At 38.2% G+C, this 23,248-nt stretch overlaps 1 protein-coding gene and 1 long non-coding RNA gene across 10 annotated transcripts in view; both read right to left on the reverse strand.

Moving 5' to 3' along the window:
- Positions 1-9,087, reverse strand: part of LOC105375846 (uncharacterized) — a 35,038-nt gene extending 25,951 nt beyond the window's left edge. Inside the window, exons 1-2 of one of the 2 annotated variants that reach the window (XR_001745917.2) lie at positions 4,102-9,087; positions 3,848-3,991 (exon numbers count right to left, since the gene is read on the reverse strand). This is a non-coding gene — a long non-coding RNA (uncharacterized LOC105375846). Of the gene's footprint in view, positions 1-3,847 lie in introns of both variants that reach the window. The other variant, XR_001745916.2, reaches the window with a different exon arrangement.
- An 8,402-nt stretch (positions 9,088-17,489) lies between these two features.
- Positions 17,490-23,248, reverse strand: part of TMEM68 (transmembrane protein 68) — a 34,621-nt gene continuing 28,862 nt past the window's right edge. For 5 of the 8 annotated variants that reach the window (NR_156454.1, NM_001363177.1, NM_001286657.2 and 2 more), the window contains 2 exons: positions 22,213-22,352; positions 17,490-18,950 (listed from right to left, as the gene is read on the reverse strand). Coding sequence is in view for 7 of the 8 variants with exons in the window: in NM_001363177.1 (NP_001350106.1) it covers positions 18,864-18,950; positions 22,213-22,352 (227 nt within the window). In the remaining variant the exon portion in view is untranslated. Of the gene's footprint in view, positions 18,951-22,212; positions 22,353-23,248 lie in introns of those variants that run through there. The other 3 variants (NM_001286661.2, NM_152417.3, XM_047421360.1) reach the window with 2 other exon arrangements.

A 23,248-nucleotide genomic window follows, 5' to 3' on the forward strand; every position in this document is an offset into this window, starting at 1 on the left:
CAAATGGTGCTGGGGCAATTGGCTAGCCACATGCAGGAGCATGAAACTGGATCCTCATCTCTCACCTTATACAAAAATCAACTCAAGATGGATTAAGGACTTAAAACTAAGACCTGAAACTATAAAAATTCTAGAAGATAACATTGGAAAAACCCTTCTACACATTGGCTTAGGCAAGGATTTCATGACCAAGAACCCAAAAGCAAATGCAATAAAAGCAAAGATAAATAGCTGGGACCTAATAAAACTAAAGAGCTTTTGCACGGCAAAAGGAACAGTCAGCAGAGTAAACAGACAACCCACAGAGTGGGAGAAAATTTTCACAATCTATACATCTGACAAAGGACTAATATCTAGAATCTACAACAAACTCAAACAAATCAGTAGGAAAAAAACAAACAATCCCATCAGAAAGTGGGCTAAGGACATGAATAGACAATTCCCAAAAGAAGATATACAAATGGCCAACAAACATATGAAAAAATGCTCAGCATCACTAATGATCAGGGAAATGCAAATCAAAACCACAATGCAATACCACATCTCTCCTGCAAGAATGGCCATAATCAAAAAATAAAAAAACAGTAGATTTTGGGATGGATGCGGTGAAGAGGGAACACTTCTACACTACTGGTGGGAATGTAAACTAGTACAGCCGCTATGGAATACAGTGTGGAGATTCCTTAAAGAACTAAAAGTAGAATTACCATTCAATCCAACAATCCCACTACTGGGTATCTACCCAGAAGAAAAGAAGTATTATTCAAAAACACACTTGCACGTGCATGTTTATAGCAGCACAATTCACAATTGCAAAATCATGGAACCAACCCAAATGCCCATCAATCAATGAGTGGTTAAAGAAATAGTGATATATATATATATATATATGTATATGTCACATATATATATCACATATATATCACATATATATCACATATATGTCACATATATATGTCACATATATATGTCACATATATATCACATATATATGTCACATATATATGTCACATATATATCACATATATATGTGACATATATATCACATATATATGTCACATATATATCACATATATATATCACATATATGTCACATATATATGTCACATATATATCACATATATATCACATATATGTCACATATATATCGCATATATATGTCACATATATATCACATATATATCACATATATATATCATATATATGATGGAATATTATGCAGCCATAAAAAGGAATGAATTGCCAGCATTTGCAGTGACCTCGACGAGATTGGAGACTATTATTCTAAGTGAAGTAACTCAGGAATGGAAAACCAAATATTGTATGTTCTCACTGATATGTGGGAGCTAAGCTATGAGGACACAAAGGCATAAGAATGATATGATGGACTTTGGGGACTTGAGGGGAAGAATGGGAGGGGGGCAAGGGATAAAAGACTACAAATATGATGCAGTGTATACTGCTGGAGTAATAGGGGCAACAAAAGCTCACAAATCACCACTAAAGAATTTACTCATATAACCGAATACCACCTGTACCCCAATAACTTATGAAAAATTTTTTAAAAAGAAAAAAAACTGCTTCATAGATATTCAGTTGAAATCTAAATTAATATGATAAAGTCTCTCAGAGTACCAAAATAACCCTAATACCACAGCCAGCCTGATGTGTAGACGTTAATATGTGCAATATGGAAGAGATTTATAAGTTCACATCTTATTATTTTAGTTACATTCACACAAATAGGCATCATCTCTGAACATAAAAATATGGCTGAGCATGGTGGCTCATGCCTATAATTCCTGTGCAGGCTGAGGCAGGAGGATCGTTTGAGACCAGGAGTTCAAGATCAGCCTGGGCAATATAGCAAGACTCTGTCTCTACAATAAATAAATAAATTAATTTTAAAAAATTAATTAGCCAAATGTGGTGGCTCTACAGCTGGAGTGCCTTACCCTAAAAAATAAACGAAAAAAAAAAATGCGGTGGCACATGCCCATATTACTGGCTACTCAGAAAGATGAGGTGGGAGGATCCCTTGAGGCCAGGAGTTCAAGACTACAGTGAGCTATAATTGTGCCACTGGTCCCCAGCCTGGATGATGGAGCAAGAGCCTGTTCTAAGAAAATAAAAATATAAATACATAAGTAAATAAAAAATAATCATATAAAACTAATTATGTGTGTCTTCATCATGTCTATTCAACAAATTCTAGGAAATTCTAGTCAGAGCTAATGAGGCAAGCATGAGAAAGAAAATGTATCCCAATTGGAAAAGAAGAAGTAAAATTGTTAACAAAAATGGGTTCCAATCCAGACCCCAAAAGAGGGGTCTTGGTTCTTGCACAAGAAAGAATTTGAGGCAAGTCCATAGAGTGAAGTGAAAGCAAGTTTATTAAGAAAGTACAGAAACAAAAGAATGTCTTCTCCATAGACAGAGCAGCAGCATGGGCTGCTCAACTGAGTATAGTTATAGTTATTTCTTGGTTATATGCTAAACAAGGGGTGAATTATTCATGAGTTTTCCAGAAAGGGGTGGAGGATTCTTGGAACTGAGGGTTCTTCCCCTTTTTAAACCATATTGGTAGCTTCCAGACATTGCCATGGCATTTGTGAATTGTCATGGTGCTGGTGGGAGTGTCTTTTAGCATGCTAATGCATTATAATTAGTGTATAATGAGCAGTGAGGATGACCAGAGGTCACTTTCATTGCCATCTTGGTTTTGGTGGCAGCTTTTCTGCCATATTCTGTTTTATCAGCAGGGTATTTGTGGTCTGTATCTTGTGATACCAGTCCTGCCAACCTATCTCATCCTGTAGCTAAGAATGCTTAACCTCCTAGGAATGCAGCCTAGCAGCTCAGATCCTCATTTTACCCACCCCCTATTCAAGATGAAGTCACTCTGGTTCAAACGCCTCTGCCATATCCCACCCCAGCTTTTAAAAGGGGACCCTTAAAGGGTTGTAGAGGGATAAAGATCCATCTTCTGTGAATTCTTCAGGTTGAATAGGGGCAATGATATTCCTGCCTAACTACCAGGGTCCCTTGTATTCAGGGTAGAGAGGAGCTCAGTCAGCATCAACATGGTGAGAGCCATTCATAACTCTGAGTCTTTACAAAAGGTGACATCTGGAAGATGAATATATGTTCCATTTAAGAAAATTTTAGCAAGCTTATCCTGCATTCTTACACAAAGAGTACAACAGCAATATATTCCACAACAGTAAAGCAAAATAAGTAAAATTATCCCAAAGTAAACTAAATAAGGCTTTCCATGAGCTGGACAATTGATGGAACCATGCTGATACAGAGTGACTAGCTGACTCTAGTATGTGCCCAGAATTAGATTATTGATCCGATTTTTACATTTCCCATCCCTCTTATTTCCTCTGAGCTGCAGCCAGAGATCACTGGTTGGTTCACAGGAATAAGCAGGGTCAGTCTAAATTTCAGAAAATCTCAAAATGGATGAGACTAGAATCTAATAAAAAATGTACCATAGTTTTTGAAACATAATTTTTCTCTCTCCAGTCCCCACTTTTATTAAAAACAAAGTGCAATAGGATGGATTTGTTTGCAAAATAAGTTTTAGTTTTATTATACTTAGCCTGATTATTTGTACAAGGTGCAGCAAGAATAATTACTTTCCACATAGGATCTTTTTGAATTGCCTTTGAAGGAACTTTGTTCCGTAAGGAATCTCATATTGGACATTTGAAGCCTTGAGCCCAGCGATGAGTTTCTCTCTGCCTGCAAATACCTATATGAATTGGATAAATTCCTCTCCTCTTGAGGTCTCAAGATAACCTGGGGCTCCTGGGCCTGTCAGAAAAAATTCTTTACTTACCACAGGTCAAGAATCCTGTACAGGGAATGCATAGGCAAGGTATGAAGCTAGTTTTTCCAAGGGGCTTTTATTAGCTCTATAAGTCAACTTTGATTCCTTAGAGCAGGATGTTTATATGTGAAAGCATGCCATTCCAGTCAAAGCCTTGGTAAGAAAAAAAACAAAAACAATTTCTCCAATTGTGTCCTATTACAAAAGAAAACAGATTCTTATTGTACTTTTGCAAATAACTATATCATCATACAAATACTCACAAATAGTTTCCAAATTCTGGAAAAATCAGGTGGAGAGAGATATGCTCCAAAATTTATTTATAGGAGTATACTTTACTTAACTGCTAAAAGCCATAAATAGCTAAAAAGAAAAAAGTTTTCTTGACTCTGAAAACCAAAACAGAAAGGATCAGCAATGTTTTAAACAAAAAGTCATAAAAAGATTACTTTGGCCTTTTATTAGTTTAGCCTATGCAGTTAATTCCTGTTTTGCTCGACATTTGTGAACACATTCGTTTTCCAAGAGAATCTTGGAAGTTCTTTCCTCTTTATTTTAATAGCACACTTTCCAAAATTATCACAGACTATGTTTAGGAGTACTCATGAGAGTGGTATCGCTAATTATAAACTGTCTTTTGAAGGAGGATCAAAATAAGAAAACAATTGTCTATGGATGACAAGAAGTCTTAGGGCAGTCACAATCAAAGACAAAATTGATAAGAAAATTTGGTTACTTCTGTGGTACACAACAATTTAACATAACAATTATATTTATTCCTCAAAACATATACCAAGTCATATCAGAATTACAGGGGTTTCTCATAATTTTGGAACACATACCAATAACATACTTATACAAATGCAACCTAAAGAAAACCAAACACCATTTCATATTTGACAATGCTACCTGTATGATTTTAATATACCAAAATAATCCAAATATGTCATTTTTGGACTTTAGGGGACTTAGTATCTATAAGGTTAATTAGGTAAGAAAAAGACATCACTTAGAATTTGATTTTGGAAAGTTTGTCAAGTATCAAAGTTTTAAAATACTTGTAAAATAAAATTTCATGTCACCATTAGTCATTTAATTAGCCAAAATGATAACTGAAAAATTTTTTAAAGGCAAAAACCTGTATTCATTGATAAAAGGAAGACTTCATTTTCCAGACAATCTGTCTCTTTTCTCCCTTCTTTTTCTTGTAGTTTATTCAAAAGGCAAACAGAAATCTTTCATTATCTTTTAATATTACATGAAAATTTTGTTTGAGAGAAAGCCAAATTTCACCTTTGCATTAGAGTACTATCAATGTCAAATCCAAATCTTAATAAAACCTTATAGACAAAGTATTCAACCTTAATCAGTTTGACCATGAGGTAAGAGTCTCATAAACCTTTTAACAATTTTCTGTTAAACAGCAGATCTGGCCAGGCGTGGTGGCTCTATATTTGTAATCTCAGCACTTTGGGAGTCTGAATGGGCAGGTTGCTTGTGCCCAGAAGTTCAAGGCCAGCCTAGGCAAAATGACAAAGCCCTGTCTCTATGAAAAATACAAAAAATTAGCTGAGGCCAGGCACAGTGGCCATGCCTATAATCCAACTACTTTGAGAGGTCAAGGTGAGTGGATTCCTTAGCCTAGGAGTTGGAGACCTGCATGGGAAACATGACAAAACCCCATCTCTACAAAAAAAATGCAAAAATTAGCCAGGCATGGAGGTGCACACCTGTAGTTCCAGCTACTAGGGAGGCTAAGGAGGGAGAATCACTTTAGCCCAAGAGGTGGCGGCTGCAGAGGGCTGTGATCGTGCCACTGCACTCTGGTCTGGGTGATACAGTGAGACCCTGCCTCCAGAAAAAAAAAAAAAAAAGAGAGAAAGAGTAGATCAATATTCTAAGAAAACCCTGTTGTGCTTTTATTTTGATGTTCAATTTATTTAAAAATTGAATAATATTCCTTTAACTTTAGTCAATAGGTTCACATACAGAATTTTTTTACAAGATTAACTTCTCACAAACCTTCCACATCTTGCTCAACTGTTTAGTTCTAGACTAACTTTCTAAACTAGGCACACACAAAAATTCCATATTCCCATGCCTTTTTAAAATCTTGTACTAAAACACATTTTACTTTCCTTACACACCTTGCATGTAAAACTATTTTGCTAGTAGTCTCAATTATATATGTTTCAGTATTAACTCTTAGCAACTTCTATGTTGGTAAAAACTCTGGCAAGTAAGTGATTTTATTTATGTACCAGATGTGGAGCCTAGGACACCAGACAGAAGTACAGATAAGGTCTGAGTCTTTCCAGCATAGTTAGGGGGCATAGCTAACTCCACATGTCCCCTGCCTTATCTGGAATTTAGTGGCTCCAAGGCAAGTAATTTGAACAATTATCAAATTAAAGAAGTAGTTTATGACATTAAGGCATTTATCAAATCTAATATGTGACCTAATTTAGACCAACTGTCTAAATTTTGAAAACATTTTTACTTTACTAATAATCTTTAAAAGTGTCTTTATTTCCTAAAGATTACTAAAGTCACATGAACTAAAAGGCATTAAAGTCTTTATTTTTCTGAGAAAATCTTTGATACATAAGTGCTTATTTTTAAGCCAATTAATCAGAGCTCTCATATATAAACATCACACACATAATACATAAAAATACAGAAACAGAAGAGAATCCAGTACTTGTAAAATTTTTCATTTCCCAGTTTTTACATTTTTTAATTAGATTACTGGCTTCTGGGTAGAGCCCTCCGACAAACAGGGCCAGGAAGCATGCAGTTTCTATGGCCAAATAAGAAGGCACAGCTGGAAGGCAAAAACAGATTGCTGAAAATTGAGGGTTCAATTCTTACACCAGGTCCTGGATACCAAAAAGAGGGACTTCAGCTCATCCTCCATGGGGATCTTACTTTTCAGTGGCAGTGGGTAGGGATGTATCCATACCTTCTATGTGGCGAAGAGCATGCTTCCCTGATCCAAACAGGCAAAAAGCCGAGTATCCCCCCATAATTGCCACTAGCCATCCCTAAAAGTATATTTCCTACCTAGTTATTACCATTAAAGCTCTCTCATAATGCACAGTAATTTCTGATACCCATCAACATCAAAGATGTCAGGTAACTCAATGCAAAACAGAACAGAACCTTAGATTTTGAGAGGGATCCATCCACTTTCACTTCTTGGGGTTCCATGAGGAAATCAGAAGTTTTTCCAAAATGGAGTCTGTGGCTCCTCCTCTGCTTTTCCCCAGGAGTCCCAGGCTGTTAGAAATTATCTTAGGTCCTCTCATTTGGGTGTCAACAGTGGCAAGAAGATAAAATGGAGAAAAACAATTCAGTCAACTGAGAAGAAAATAGCTTTTTTTTTCAGAAAAACAAGATTCAACTGGGGCGTGGGGGTGGTGGGGAGCCATAAAGACCTTTTAAATATATGTATAGCTTGGATAATCTGCTTTAACTTAAGCTGACGTTTAACCAGATCTCTTATTACTAGACTCTAGTAAGGACCTACAGCCAGTATTTCTGGCTTTTGAACTTTATTAAAGGTAGCTTCCTAGGTGAAACAATAAGCCTTAACTAAGTTTATGACTTAACCATGAGTGTATGAGGTATTTTCAAAGAGGTGGTAAGCAGTTTTTACAAGATCTAGAGTCTTCAAAGGTAGCTCAGAGAAAGGAAAATTCAAGCTGGAAAGTCAGAAGTTGTTCATGAAGGTGAGGAGAATCAACAAATGGCAAAGATCACACAAATATCAAACAGAAAGTACATTCTCTAAGCTGGGAATTGAACCCAAGTCACCATTGTGAAATGGCAAAGCCTTAGCTTCTGAGCTACAGCACTGGACAGTGTTTATTGCCCTTCCTAGAAGGAACCTAGAGCAGCCAATTTTGAGCTTACAAAGGTTTTTAAGAGCCCAAGATACTAGGTTCATGCAAAAGTAATTGTGGTTTTGGCCAAAATTTTCAGTGGCCTATAATTTTTAGGCCAACTGTTGACATGAACCCCAAAATTTTCACCCTCTAGATAGTGGAGACCAAGAGAAAGTATCCCCATATACTCACAAGGTCAAGCTCCCAAGGACATAAAACAAGACGAGAAGGAAACTTTACCTACTTTTTGTTTCAGGAATCTGCAACAAACTTTGTAACTGGTCAGTTTGCTGGTACAGCTTAAATAGAAGGCTTATAGGTAACCCCTTTTATAACAGAACTACACACAAAGACAAATTCATAGTGCAAAGTACACCAGATTTGCTACAGCCTAAGACTAGTCTCACAAATCCTTTTTCCCATTAATCAAAATTTTATAGAGGAGATAAATAGTGATTTTTACCATTCATTCAACCTGTTTGCACAGAAAGAGTGAGAGAGAAAACGAGAGAGAGAGAGAGATATTGAGAGGCCAGAAGTCTGACTGGTAAAAAATTCTTATGCTTTTGCCAGCATGCCAGGTTTCTGGGTTCCCTTTCCCTGAGTGGTCCTAGCGACCCTGCTCGCTGCACCATGGCCATGTGGGCCAAGCCACATCACTAAGGAAAAACATATTTTTCTGTTTCATGGAACCATAGGCAAAAGCCTCTCAATTTTGCAAGATGCTGCCCAATGGGCTGCATGGGGGAACCAAATTAACATTTTTTTAATCCCAGCCAGAACAAAATACATATGACAAAACATAGACACTTAGCCACTCCACTCAGCACCCAATATAGACCTGGCAAGGTTCAAACTTGCCCCCATTGGTACCCCATTATCTTTAATCCACTCAAAGTGGGGTGGAATGATCTCCACCGACCGGGAGTTTCAACTTTTGGTATCTGAGAAAGATGGAAGAGTGGACAGTCACCCTGAGTAACAGAAAAGATAGGAAAGTGAAAGGAGAGAAAGGGAGAAAAGCATTGCCTGCAGCAGGGTAGGGAAGGCGAGCAGCCCAAAGGGGTCAGAGAAAACCCACCCCTCATAGCGACACTGAATCAAATGTTCAGGCAGCTCCTTGTCAGTCACAAAGGGATCTTTTCCAGTGGTCACATCAGCTCTCGTTTTCCCCTCTGGGGAGAAAAAAGATCCTCATGTCCCATGATCAAGTATATGCCTAATCCTGTCACCTACAGCCACTAGCAAAGAGCATAAGGCAGATTAATTCAAAGAGAAAAGCAATTAGCATCCCATAGTGACAAATTTATTTTATTTTATTATTTTATTTTATTGAGACTGAGTTTTGCTCTTGTTGCCCAGTCTGGAGTGCAATGGTGCAATCTCGGCTCACTGCAACCTCCGCCTCCTGGGTTCAAGTGATTCTCCTGCCTCAGTCTTCCAAGTACCTGGGATTATAGGTATGTGCCACAGGCCCAGCTAATTTTGTAATTTTAGTAGAGACAGGGTTTCATCATGTTGGTCAGGCTGGTCTCGAACTCCTGACCCTAGGTGATCCACCTGCCTTGGCCTCCCAAAGTGCTGGGATTACAGGCATGAGTCACCACAACCAGCCCCAAATTTATTTTGAACCAAGAAGGACTTTACTGAGGGGAGTGGCGGGGGGGCCTCTAACCCATTAAATCTTAGGAAGGACTCTAACTTCCTAAGTTGGCAGTCTAACCTAATTTCAGACAAGCATCTTTGCCCTTTACTAAGAGGGACTTTAAACCCCCTGTTTCTTAGGAGGGACTCTAACCCTTTTAAGTTGGGCCTCTAACCTAATTCCATTCTCTACCCAGGATTAAAATACCCAACCATTTAGACCAGGTAAGGTGGCTCACACCTGTAATCACAACAATTTAGGAGGCTGACACAGGTGGATCACCTGAGGGCAGGAGTTTGAGATCAGCCTGGCCAACATGAAGAAACCCTGTCTCTACTAAAAATGCAAAAATTAGCCAGACGTGGTGGCACTTGCCTGTAATCCCAGCTACTCGGAAGGCTGAGGCAGGAGAATCACTTGAACCCAGAAGGTGGAGGTTGCAGTGAGCCAAGATTGCACCATTTCACTCCAGCCTGGGCAACAGAGTGAAACTCCATCTCAAAAAAAATCAAACAAAATATCCCATCACTTAATCCAAAGTTGGCCAATTGGGGCTGCAGTCTATTTCCCTTTTTTTTTTTTTTTTTAAGACAGGGTCTCACTCTGTCACCCAGGCTGGAGTGTAGTGGCACAATCTCAGCTCACTGCAATATCCACTTCCCAGTCTCAAGTGATCCTCCCACCTCAGCCTCCTGAGTGGCTGGGACTGCAGGCACGCCCCACCACACCTGGCTATTTTCTTGTATTTGTGATAGAGATGTGGTTTTTGACATGTTGCCCAGACTGTTCTCAAACTCGTGAGCTCAGGCGATACACCCATCTTGGCCTCCCAAAATGCTGGGATTACAGACATGAGCCACTGTGCCCAGCACTGCAGTCTATTTCCTTTGGGTTGGGGGTTTCTCCAGGATCATCCTTTTGCAGTTCACTAGAAAGATGTTACCAGAAAGGAGTCCCAATCCAGACCCCAAGAGAGGGGTCTTGGATCTTGTACAAGAAAGAATTTGGGGCAAGTCCATAGAGCAAAGTGAAAGCAAGTTTATTAAGAAAGTAAGGAAACAAAAGAATGGCTACTCCATAGACAGAGCAGTGGCATGGGCTGCTGAACTGAGTATACTTAACGATTATCTCTTGAATATATTCTAAACAAGGGTGGATTATTCATGAGTTTTCACAGAAAGGGGTGGGGAGTTCCCAGAACTGAGGGTTCTTCCCCATTTTAGACCATATAAGGTAGCTTCCAGACATCGCCATGGCATTTGTAAACCGTCATGGTGCTGGTGGGACAATTTTATCCTGGGTAAAGGATGGGATTTTAGCATACTAATGCATTATAATTAGTGTACAATAAACATGAGGACAACCAGAGGTCACTTTCATTGCCATCTTGGTTTTGGTGGGTTTGGGCTGGCTTCTTTACCATATCCTGTTTTACTGGCAGGGTCTTTATGACCTGTATCTTGTCACACCAGTCCTGCCAACCTCCTATATCATCCTGTGACTAAGAATGCCTAACCTCCAGGGAATGCAGCCCAGCAGCTCACATCCTCAATTTACCTGTCCCCTATTCAAAATGGAGTCACTCTGGTTCAAATGCCTCTGACAAAATTATCTTTGTTCACAGATAACATTATATTAAAAGTTACAAATCTGCAGATTACACACACACACACACACACACACTGTTATAGCTAATATACAAACCACACACACACACACACACACACACACACAAACTGTTACAGTTAATATACGAACAAACTTGGCAAAGTTGATGATATAAAATTAACACAGAAATCAGTTGTGGCTGGGTGTGGTGGCTCATGCCTGTAATCCCAGCTCTTTGGGAGGCCAAGGCAGGAGGATCACTTGAGGCCAGGAGTTTGAGACCAGCTTGAGCAACACAGCAAGACTGACTCCACCTTTACAAAAAATTTAAAAATTAGCCAGTTGTGGTGGCATGCACCTGTGGTCCCAGCTGTTTGGGAGGATAATGTGGGAGGATTACTTGAGTCCAGGAGGTCAAAACTGCAGTGAGCCATGATTGTGTATTGTGCCATCACACTCCAGCATGGGTGACAGAGCAAGACCCTGTCTCAAAAGAGAGAGAGAGAAAAAAAGAGAGAGTGAGAGAGAGAAAGAAAGAAAGAAAGAGAAAGAGAGAGAGAGGGAAGGAAGAAGGAAGGAAGGAAGAAAGGAAGGAAGGAAGAAACTAGATATTCCATTTACAATAGCATAAAAAAGGATACAATATTTAGGAATAGACTTTACCAAGGAGACAACAGACTCGTATGCTAAAAACTACAAAACACTGCTTGAAGAAATCAAAGATGTAAATAAATGAAAAGATATCCCATGTTTATGGATTGAAAGGCTTAATATTAAGATGGCAATACTATCCAAAGCAATCCACAGATTCAATGCAATCTCTATCAAAATCCAAATGGCTTGCATTTTGGTTTTGCAGAAATAGAAAAACCCATGTTAAAATTCAAGAGACACCAAATAGCCAAAACAATATGGGGGGAAATGTGGTGCGGGGGGGAAGAAGTGTTCGAGTATTAAAAACAAAGTTGGAAGACTCATACTTCCTCAGTTCCAAACTTACTACAAAACTACAGTAATCAAGTCAGTATAGTATTGACACAAGAACATAGAGACCAATGGAATAAAATAAACAGCCCAGAGCCAGGTGTGGTGGATCACGCCTATAATCCCAACACTTTGGGAGGCCGAGGCGGGTGAATTACCTGAGGTCGGGAGCTCGAAATCAGCCTGACCAACATGGAGAAACCCCATCTCTTCTAAAAATACAAAATTAGCCGGGTGTGGTGGCACATACCTGTAATCCCAGCTACTCAGGAGGCTAAGGCAAGAGAATCGCTTGAATCCAGGAGGCGGAGGTTGTGGTGAGCCGAGATCACACTATTGCACTCCAGCCTAGGCAACAAGAGCGAAACTCCATTTCAAAAAAAAAAAAAAAAAAAGGATAAACAGCCCAGAAATAAACCCTTGCATATATGCTCAGTCGAATGCCAAAATCATTCAGTGTGGAAAATATAGTGTTTTCAACAAATGGTGCTGGGAAAACTGGATATTCACCAGGAAAATAAAAAAACTGGATCTTTATTTTACATCATATACAAAAATTAGCTGAAATGAATTAAAGACCTAAATGTAACAGCTAAACTTAAAACCTCTCAGAAGAAAACATAGGGGAAAATCTTAATAAAATTGAATTTGGCAATTATTTCTTGGATATGACATCAGAAGCATAGGCCCAAAAAAGAGAGAGAGAGAAGAAGAAGGAGAAATAGCTAAATTGGATCTCATTACAATTAAAAACTTTTATTAATCAAGGGACATTATTGAAGTATAAAAATACAACCTACAAAGAGGAGGAAAATATGTGCAAATTATATATCTGATAAAAGATTAATATCCAGAATATATAAAGAACTCCAAAACCTCAACATCAACAACAAAACAATCCAATCCAAAAATGGACTAAGGGCTTGAATAGATATTTCTCCAAAGAAGATATGCAAATGGCCACTAAACACATGAAAACATGCTCAACATCACTAATCATTAGGGAAATGCAAATCAAAACCACAGTGAGATACCACTTCACCACTAGTCATAGGGTGGCTATTGTCAAAAAAAATTGAAAATAACAAGTGTTAGTAAAGGTGCATCGCTGATGGGAATGTAAAATGATGCAGTCTCTGTGGAAGTTTGCTGTGTGAGCACAAAAGTATCTGAGACAGGTCTCAATCAATTTAGAAAGTTAATTTTGCCAAGGTTAAGGATGCACCCATGAACAGCCTCAGGAGGTCCTGATGACATGTGTTCAAGGCGGTTGGGGTACAATTTGCTTTTATACATTTTAGGGAGACAAAATACAATCAATCAATACATGTAAGATTTACATTGATTTGATCTGGAAGGTCAGGACAACTAGAAGTTGGAATCGGGGGGGTCATATGTAGATTATTAATTTTTCTGATGGCAATTTGTTAAAAGAGTTATTATCAAGGGGCCTCAGAAATTTATTTTTGGTTTACAGGTGGTTCCTACAAAAACTTAAATGTGGAATTGCCATATGAGACAGCAGTCCCACTTCTAGGTATATACCCAAAAGAATTAAAAGCAGAGACTCAGACACGTTTGTACACCAATCACCCCAAACATTCATCAACAAAATGTGGTGTGTATCTGTGTGTGTGTGTGTGTGTGTGTGTGTGTGTGTGTGTGTGTGTGTGTGTGTTTCAGCCCCATCCCCATCCCTACCTCAGGAGAAGGGAGAGGAGCTACAGATTGAGTTTAATCACCAATGGCCAATGAGTCAACGAATCATGCCCCAATTATATTTGAGGGAAAATACTTGTAAGTGATAAATAAGTGAGAAATGTTGTAATAAATACAGGTGGCCAGGCACGGTGGCTCACAGTTGTAATCCCAGCACTTTGGGAGGCTAAGGGGGGCATATCACTTGAGCTTAAGGGCTAGAGACCAGCCTGGGTAATATGATGAAACCCCATCTCTATAAAAAATACAAAAATTAGCCTGGGGGTTCAGCACATGCCTGTAGTCTCAGCTACTCAGGAGGCTGAGGTGGGCAGATCACCTGAGCCTGGGGAGGTCGAGGCTGCAATGAGCCGTGGTCACACCACTGCACTCCAGCCTGGGCAAGTGAGATCCTGCCTCAAAAAAAAAAAAAAAGAAAGAAAGAAAGAAAAACTAAGGGTATGGACATAAAAGTGGAAACAACAACAGACACTGGGGACTACTACAGGGGAGAGGGAAAAAGGCTAAGGGCTGATATACTATCTGTTGGGTCCTAGGTACTAGGATGAGATCATTCATACCCTAAACCTCAGAGTCATGCAGTCACACATTATACCCATGTAACAAACCTGCACATGTACCCTCTGAATTTAAAAGTTGAAATTATTTTTAAAAGCCTAGGGGTGGGGGTGGGGGGGCACGATACTGAAATTGGAATGCTCTTTCTTATAGAATGCCGACTACTACCAGCCTGGCCAACATGAAAACCCCATCTCTATTAAACATACAAAAATTAGCCAGGCGTGGTGGCGCACACCTGTAATCCCAGCTACTTGGGAGGCTGACACATGAGAATTGCTTGAACCCAGGAAGCTGCAGTGAGCCGAGATCACACCACTGCCCGCAGCAGAGTGAGACCCTGTCTCAAGAAAAAAGAAAAAAAGAAAAAAAAGAATGCCAACTAGTAAATATAGGATATGAGAAAATCACACTCTTGAATCCCTAGTAATAATTTATTCACACAAGAATCAATTCAAAAGATGCTAAAACAAGTTAACTAGTTAAGGTTTGATGAGGAACAGCTACATGCAGTTATGTGCTACATAGTAACGTTTCAGTCAACAGTGGTCCCATAAGATTATAATACCTTATTTTTACTGTACCTTTTCTAAGTTTAGCTGTGTTTAGATACACAAAATACTATTGTGTTGCAATTGCCTACAGTATTCAGTAGTCACATGCTGTACAAGTTTGTAGGCTAGGAGCAACAGGCTATACCATACAGCCTATTTGTGTAGTAGGCTATACATTTAGCTTTGGGTAAGTATACTTTATGATGTTCACACAATGACAAAATCGCCTAACGATGCATTTCTAGAATATATTCCCATCATTAAGCAATGCATGACTGTAGACAGTCTCAAAGAATCTCAAAATAAGCTTCCTTATTACAAAGGGAAAAAAATAACAACTACAGGGAAGGAACCTGGTGAATGCCATCTCAGCCAAGTGATCAAAGTTATTGCCACTAATGACACAAACCAACATATGTGCCACCTGATGTGACGCCCTGGACAGAGCTGCAGCATCATTCATGTTGTATTTCTAAAATAATGCATAGTCTGAATCAACTTGTAATGAAATGTGAGGCAAAAACAAAATGAGGGCTTATCTGCAAAATAAATGGTCCCCCCTCTCCAAAAAGGTCACTATCATTGAAGACAAAGAAGGGCTGAAGAATCATTCCAGATTAAAGGTGACTAAAGAAATAGGAAAACTAAATGCAATGTGTGATCCTTCCTTGGATGAATCAGGAAGAAAGATTGATATAAATTATATTACTGAGACAACTGGTGAAATTTAAATACAGTCTATAGATAATAGTATTATATCAATCAAGATTTTCCTGATTTTTTTTATCATTGTCTTGTGGTTCTGTAAATGGATGATCTCACAGTCCAGGTAACAGTAAGGGGCATGGTATTTGCAATTTACTATCAGATGATCTAGGAGAAAAAGTATAGATACATATGTGGAGACAGCGAGGGCAACAGGAGTGTGAAAAGAATAAAACAAATGTGACATGTTACCTTGGTGAATCTGGGTGAAGAGTGTATGGGAGTACTCTGCACTATAATTGCAACTTTTCTGTAAGCTTCGAATTGTTTCAGAATGAAAGTTTTTAAAAATGAGCAAGAAAAACTTCCCATAAGTGCGCCATGTTTACACTTCTGGAGAGAGGCTCTTCATACTTGCATCAGGTTCTGACTGTGAACACTCCTCAAAAAAGGGTCAAGACACATGAATAGAAGTGATAAGAAGGGAAAGAAAAATTATGAAAAAAAACTGATACACCTTCTTCCCATTACTTATATTTCTTTTGTTTTAATTTTTTTTTTTTTTTTTTTTTTTGAGACAGGGTGTCATTCTGTTGCTGAGGCTGGAGTGCAGTGGCACAATCATGGCTCACTGCAGCCCTGACCTCTCCAGGCTCAACCTTCCACCTCAGCCTCCCAGGTAGCTGTAACTGCAGGTGTGCACTACCATACCCAGCCGATTTTTGTGCGTTTTCTTGTAGAGACAGGATTTCACCCAGGCTGGTCTTGAATTCCTGGGCTCAAGTGACCCAGTTGCCTCAGCCTCCCAAAGTGTTAGGATGACAGGTGTGAGCCACTGAACCCAGCTTAATTTAAAAACAAAAAAATTTTATTTGATAAGAGGTCTTGTTATGTTGTCCAGGTGGTCTCAAACTCCTGGCCTCAAGCAATCCTCCCAAAGTGCTGGGATTATAGGTGTGTGCCATCATGCCCAGCCATATTTCTATATTTAGTCATATTCTCTGACTCTTATAAATGGGAATTAAACTCAAATAGCAAAGATAAAGATCTGAAGCAATGATGTTAGTCTGAATATCAGGGTTTTAAAAAAAGGTTTTAATTAAAGCAGTAAAACTTAAATATTGTAAAAATAATAGCTTTTGCCACATTAGCAATAAATGCTGTTCTTTCTTTAGTCTTTATTAATAGAACCATGGGCTTGCTCTATCACTCAGGCTGTGCAGTGGCACAATTGCGACTCACTGCAGCCTCGAACTCCTGGGCTCAAGCAATTCTCCCGCCTCAGCCTTCCAAGTAGCTGGGACTACAGGTTCATGACACCACTCCTGGCTAACTTCAGTCTTTAAAACTCAATAGTTGACCCAAAACAAATTTCTCATTCATTTTATATCATTTATTCATTCATTCTGAAATATTTCATCAATTTTGAACCAAACACTGCTCACTGGTGGGGGGAGGAAACTGCAAGTAATCATTAATTGACTCTTCTCATTGACCACAAAATTAAAATATATTTATTACACTGGAAAGTGAAGTTTCTTCATTGTGGCTAGATCAAAGAATATGATTATAGGTGAGAAATGTGTAAAGAGTACAACAAAAAAATCAATTTAAAATGACTATTTAGGGTGGGCGCAGTGGCTCACACCTGTAATCCCAGCACTTCGGGAGGCTGAGGTGGGCGGATCACTTGAGGTCAGCAGTTCAAGACCAGCCTGGCCAACATGGTAAAACCCTGTCTCTACTAAAAACACAAAAATTAGCCAGGTGTAGTGGTACACTCATGTAATCCCAGCTACTCAGGAGGCTCCTTCAGAAGACAGAAGGAGCATTGCTTGAACCTGGGAGGCGGAGGTTGCAGTGAGCCAAGATGGTGCCACTGCACTCCAGCCTGGGAAACAGACACAGCGAGACTCCATCTCAGAAAAAAAAAAAAAAAGATTTTTAAAATGTCACATGTAATTTCTCAAGAAAATTAACTGCAACTCAGGTTTATTTTCACATTGTTTAATTTTATGTACATTTCACATATCATAAATACACACAATACAAAAAGCTATACAAAAACCCTACTAATTCAACATTTAAAAAAGGGAGAGGGAGATACTGCATTTGATTTCTGACACTTTTCTGTTTAAATAATACTTAAATTCAGTTTTCAAGAAGACAACAAATTGAAAATCATTAATTTTTCAGAGGGCTTTGTGTTCACATAAATTCATCATTCAGGCTGGGCATGGTGGCTCACACCTGTAATCCCAGCAAGTTGGGAGGCTGAGGCAGGTGGATCACCTGAGGTCAGGAGTTCAAGACCAGCCTGGCCAACATGGCAAAACCCCATCTCTAAATAAAAACAAAACAAAACATAAATAAATTCATCATTCAAGTATATTTTTATTGAAGCAATAAACCACTTCACTGGCTGTAGAGTCAAACTGGGTAAGCCTCAATATTGAGCAAAAGTAGAGAACTCTTGCTTTCCTCAGCCTAGAATCAGCTTCTAACACACGAAATGCAGAGCACAACAGTGATTTTTAAGCTGGCATTATTAAGACCACAGTATAGGGCTGACAATGCACAGCACACCCTATATTGTTTGCCTATAGACTCTTGTTAAAAATATCATACTAAAAATAATAATTAGAAATTTTATTTTTCCTAATTTTTTATTCAATTTAAAAAATAATACATCTTTTTCATTGTGCTTGGCAACTGGACATGACATAATTTAAACACACAATGGAGAAAATATATACATAACTGCTAAAGGATTTTGACATTGTTTAAATTAATTATTTTATTATTTTGGTTCAACAGTTATCAATCACAGTAAATATAAATAACAAAATAATATCATTCATCATACGATCATGTTTTTAAAAAGTGAATTGTTGAGGCACAAAAACATTACGTGACTTGCCCAAGGTCATGAAGGGAATGAGGGGCAGACAACAGCATGTTTTTTCTAACTTAAACAACTATACTAACCCCTAGCTTATACCATCTTTCAAAATCAGCTCAGGGCGACAGATACAGAAATTTAACGCATTATCCAGGAATGTTTGTTTAACCTAAACTGCTGTTATTAATAAACTTAAGAATCTATATGTTTAGCATAAATTGTTAGGAATTTACAAATAAGACATCTTTTTCTGAATTACTAGGTGTGTAATTTGTTAGTATTTGACACAATTGCAAAAACAAAATTGACTATTTTAAAGAAACGAATTCTGTGAAAGATGCTTATTAACATGATTTTTTTAAAAAATACTAATTATAGGACCTACAAAATTCAGAAGACAGTACCTTAGATACAAACATTTAATATAAATGTACTAAATCATCTTCTAGTTGACCCTTTGTTATCAATGAAAACGTTCTAACAAAGCACTCATAATGTTTCCTGGTATTCTTTGGTGCTTATCAATCAAAGCTTGAACAGCATTCTTCGTCTATTAAGAAAACAAAAGAAAAGCTATTGTTAGTAGATCTTAATATAGACTGATTTATCTCCCATTACCCCTCAGAATTAATGATTTCCTTCTCAGTACACCTGAAGCTTATATATTTCTCTTTTTTATAGAGATGGGGTTTCACTATGTTTCCCAGGCTGTTCTCGAACTCCTGGGGCTCAAGCAATTCTCCCACCTTGGCCTTCCAATGTGCTGGGATTACAGGCATGGGCCACTGTGCCTGGCTGCAGCATATTTCTTATACTTATTTTATTAAGCCTTCAATTATAGTTGTTGTCCACGTGTCTATTTTCTATATCAGACTGTAAGCTCCTTAAGATACATCTTAGAATTTCTCCAGCATTAAGCACAGCAACACCTTGCACATGATAAACACTAAAGGGGACTTAAAGAGGAAAAAAAATAGAAAAATTTCGAGTAGGCAAATGGAAGACTTAGTCCTTTCCAGCTATTAGTAAATTCTAATGTATATTTTCTTTTATCACCATACATACTGAACAATTATATCAGGGTCTCACTGTGTTGCTCAGGCTGGTCTCGAACTCCTGGACTCAAGGGATCCTCCTGCCTTGGCCTCCCAAAGTGCTGGGATTACAGGCATGAGTCATCATGAACTATGTATTTACATACATATATACTTCCTTTTCTAGACTTTAACCTTTAAAGAAAATAAACACTAGGCCAAAGATGTATTATAAAAATACGCCCCTTTGGCTGGGCGTGGTGGCTCACACCTGTAATCCCAGCACTTTGGGAGGCTGAGGTGGGTGGATCACCTGAGATCAAGAGTTCGAGAGCAGCCTGACCAACATGGTGAAACCCCGTCTCTACTAAAAATACAAAATTAGCAGGTGTGGTGGCACATGCCTGTAATCCCAGCTACTTGGGAGGCTGAGGCAGGAGAATCGCTTGAACACAGGAGGCGGAGGTTGCAGTGAGCCAAGATCGCGCCATTGCACTGTAGCCTGGGCAACAAGAGTGAAACTCTGTCTCAAAACAAAACAAAACAAAAAACACCCCTCTAAACCACAGTTTTCATACCTGTAAAATGAGAACTACTTCATACAGTTATAAGGATTAAATGAAACTGAAGGGACATCTTCAGGTACTTAACACAGTGACTGCCACAGAGGTTGTGTTCCGTGATGTGTATTAAGTGTATCTCTAGAATTTTATTTATTCATTCGAAAAATATTAGATGCTTTGGAAATTATAATATTAGTGAAACAAATCTCTAATCTCAAGGAGCTCATAACTTAAAACGAAGAATCAAGTACAAAGTAACTAAAATGTGAGATCATTGGTGATGCATACCATCTGAAGTGTGAAAAGAAAGTGTTCAGAAGTTCAGACCTGAGAGCCCACTGGGTAGGCAGTGAGCAGGGGAGGACACATGAACAGGGTATTGTTTGGTGCGGGTCTCCAGGGACCCATAATATTCCAATAATGGTAAAGGAAGGAGCATGAGAAGAAAAGAGTCCAGGAAAACCACTGTGTAAGGAATGGTGAGTTAGCCAGTTTTACTGGAGTTTCAGGTATTCAAAAGCTGGGTAAGGTAAGGCTTTAAAATTAATTTCAATTAAATCATGAAGGGAGTTAAATACCAAGTAAAAAAGCATAGACTTTGAGTATATAAAGTAAAAATGTATAGACTTGTACCAAGTAAAAAAGTACAAACTGGTGGGGCATGCCTGTAATTCCAGCTATTTGGGAGGCTGAGATACGACAATCACTTGAATCTGGGAGACGGAGGTTGCATTGAGTCGAGACTGCACCACTGCACTGCAGCCAGGGTTACAGAGTAAGACTGTCTCAAAAAGGAAAGAAAGAAAAGAGGGAAATCCTATCACGTGATACAACATAGATGAACCTTGAGGACATTATGTTAACTGAAATAAGTCAATGACAAAAAGACAAATACCGTATGATTTCACTCATATGAGGTATCTAAAGTGGTCAAAGTCTTAGAAAAGTAGAATGGTGGTTGCTAGGAGCTGGAGGAAGGGGAAATGGGAAGTTGGTGTTCAACAGGTATAGTCCGTTTTGCAAGATGAAAAAATTCTAGAGACCTGTTGCTCAATAATGTGAATGTACTTAACAGTACTGAACTGTATGCTTAAAAATGGTTAAGATAGTACATGTATGTGTTTTTACCATAATTTGTTTTACTATGTTTTACCATATTATGTGTTTACCATATGTTTTACCATAATGTTTTTACCATAATTTATATTTTAAAATATAAATCAGACTATATATATACCAAAGACTATATAAAAGTCATAATCAAAATATAATCATCCCATTTTATTTTTTGAGAGACAGTGTCTCACTCTGTTGCCCAGGCTGGAGTGCAGTGGCACAATCATAGTTCACTGTAACCTTGACCTCCTGGCTTCATGATATCCTCCTACCTCAGCCTCCCAAGGTGCCGGGATTACAAGTGTGAGCCACCAAGCATGGCCCATTCATCCCATTTTCTAAGTGATTCAGTTAACATAACATTTATTGCATTTAACAAGAATGGGGTAAAAAAGAAAAAAAGGAGAACATGACATTTGTAGGGTTTTTTTTTTTTTGTAGTTTTATACTCTCTGAAAGTATAATTATGAGGCAGGCAGGCTTTTCTCCTCTTTATCCTCCTTCATCTCTTTGCAAAAACTAACATTACTGACCATTCCCACTTTTTACTAAAACCTCACCTGCTGACTTCTGTCACACAAATTTACTTGTTCTCTTACCTCTCTGCCAGTTCTCTTTCAGTCAGCTCTGGCACTTCTTCGTTGGCCTTCTCCTTCAGTGCTACATCTCCTGAAGTCTGTTCTCAGCACTTTTCTTTCTTTCTCACCTGCCTTGTAAAGCTCATGGCTTAAGTAACTGTCTCAGTGCAAATGACTGAAATCTCCATCATCAATTCTGACTTTCTCCCAAACTCCAGTCCAATATTTCCAAAAACCTATGCATAGGAATATATTCCTATCCTACAAGTTACCATAAATTCTATCACTGGCCCCCACCCACTAAATGTCTGTAGCACTCCCCTCACGGCCCCAACTCCTGCCTGTAGTGACAATAAGTCTCCAGGGATTAGCAAATGTTCCCTAGGGTATACAATCACCTCTGGTTGAGAACCACTGACCTAGACATGCTTGTAGAATATAAAAATAAATCAATGAGATTCAAAATATAATAATTGAAAATAAAAATCTGTCCTAAAACTAAAAAAGAAAAAGCAATTTACCTTTTCAGCTAATTCTTCCGCTGTTATCTGTGGGTCATACGGAATGGGGTCGCCTAAATAGGTCCGTAACTTCACTGGAAAACCTCCATACATTGGAGCAAATGGATAGCGGAATTTTTCATAAAGCCACCTAAATAACCCTGTTTTAGAGTAAATACAATCATTTTAACTTGTTAAGTATTCTGACCATGTAACTGTAAACTTTCAAATTAATTATGTAGGACTTACAGGAAGGTGGCAAAAAGTATCACTTCTTGGCAATTAATACAATTTTTTTAAAAAGAAGAGCTTTTCATCAATTTTAACAAATATATCACACCAATGCAAGATATTAATAATAGGAGAAACTAGGGGATGGTGAGAAGATTTATGAGAACTCTCTGTACTTTCTATAAACATAAAAATGCCCCCCAAAAAAGTTTATTAATTATTTTTTAAAATGAGCTTTTAAAGTACAGGAATTAAACAAAAATAAGTAAACAATGAATAAATAAAAATAAAATACAGTAATTTTAAAAGGCAAACAAGTTACTATTATTGCAAAACAAAGGCTAAACTGCTACCAAACTACTAGAGGTGAAAAAGTCTATAGAGTCTCACAAATAAGTAACTTAGATAAATAAAAGACCAAAAAAAGGAAGAATAAATTTATGTAAATATGAGACTATAATGCAAAATAAACTAGGTAAAGACAAAATAATATTATGAATTAGGAAAAACACATCAAAGCAAATAACTACTAATACTAATGACCAAACATGAAATTTACCAGGATTAAATAAAAGTGGTAGTAATATAAAAACAAACTGACAGACTAAATTTTTTTTTTTTTTTTTTTTTTTTGAGACGGAGTCTCGCTCTGTCGCCCAGGCTGGAGTGCAGTGGCACGATCTCGGCTCACTGCAAGCTCCTCCTCCCTGGTTCACGCCATTCTCCTGCCTCAGCCTCCTGAGTAGCTGGGACTATAGGTGCCCGCCACCACACCTAGCTAATTTTGTTTGTATTTTTAGTAGAGACGGGGTTTCACCACGTTAGC

The sequence above is a fragment of the Homo sapiens genome, chromosome 8 (assembly GCF_000001405.40).
Source record: "Homo sapiens chromosome 8, GRCh38.p14 Primary Assembly".
Lineage (NCBI taxonomy): Eukaryota > Metazoa > Chordata > Mammalia > Primates > Hominidae > Homo > Homo sapiens.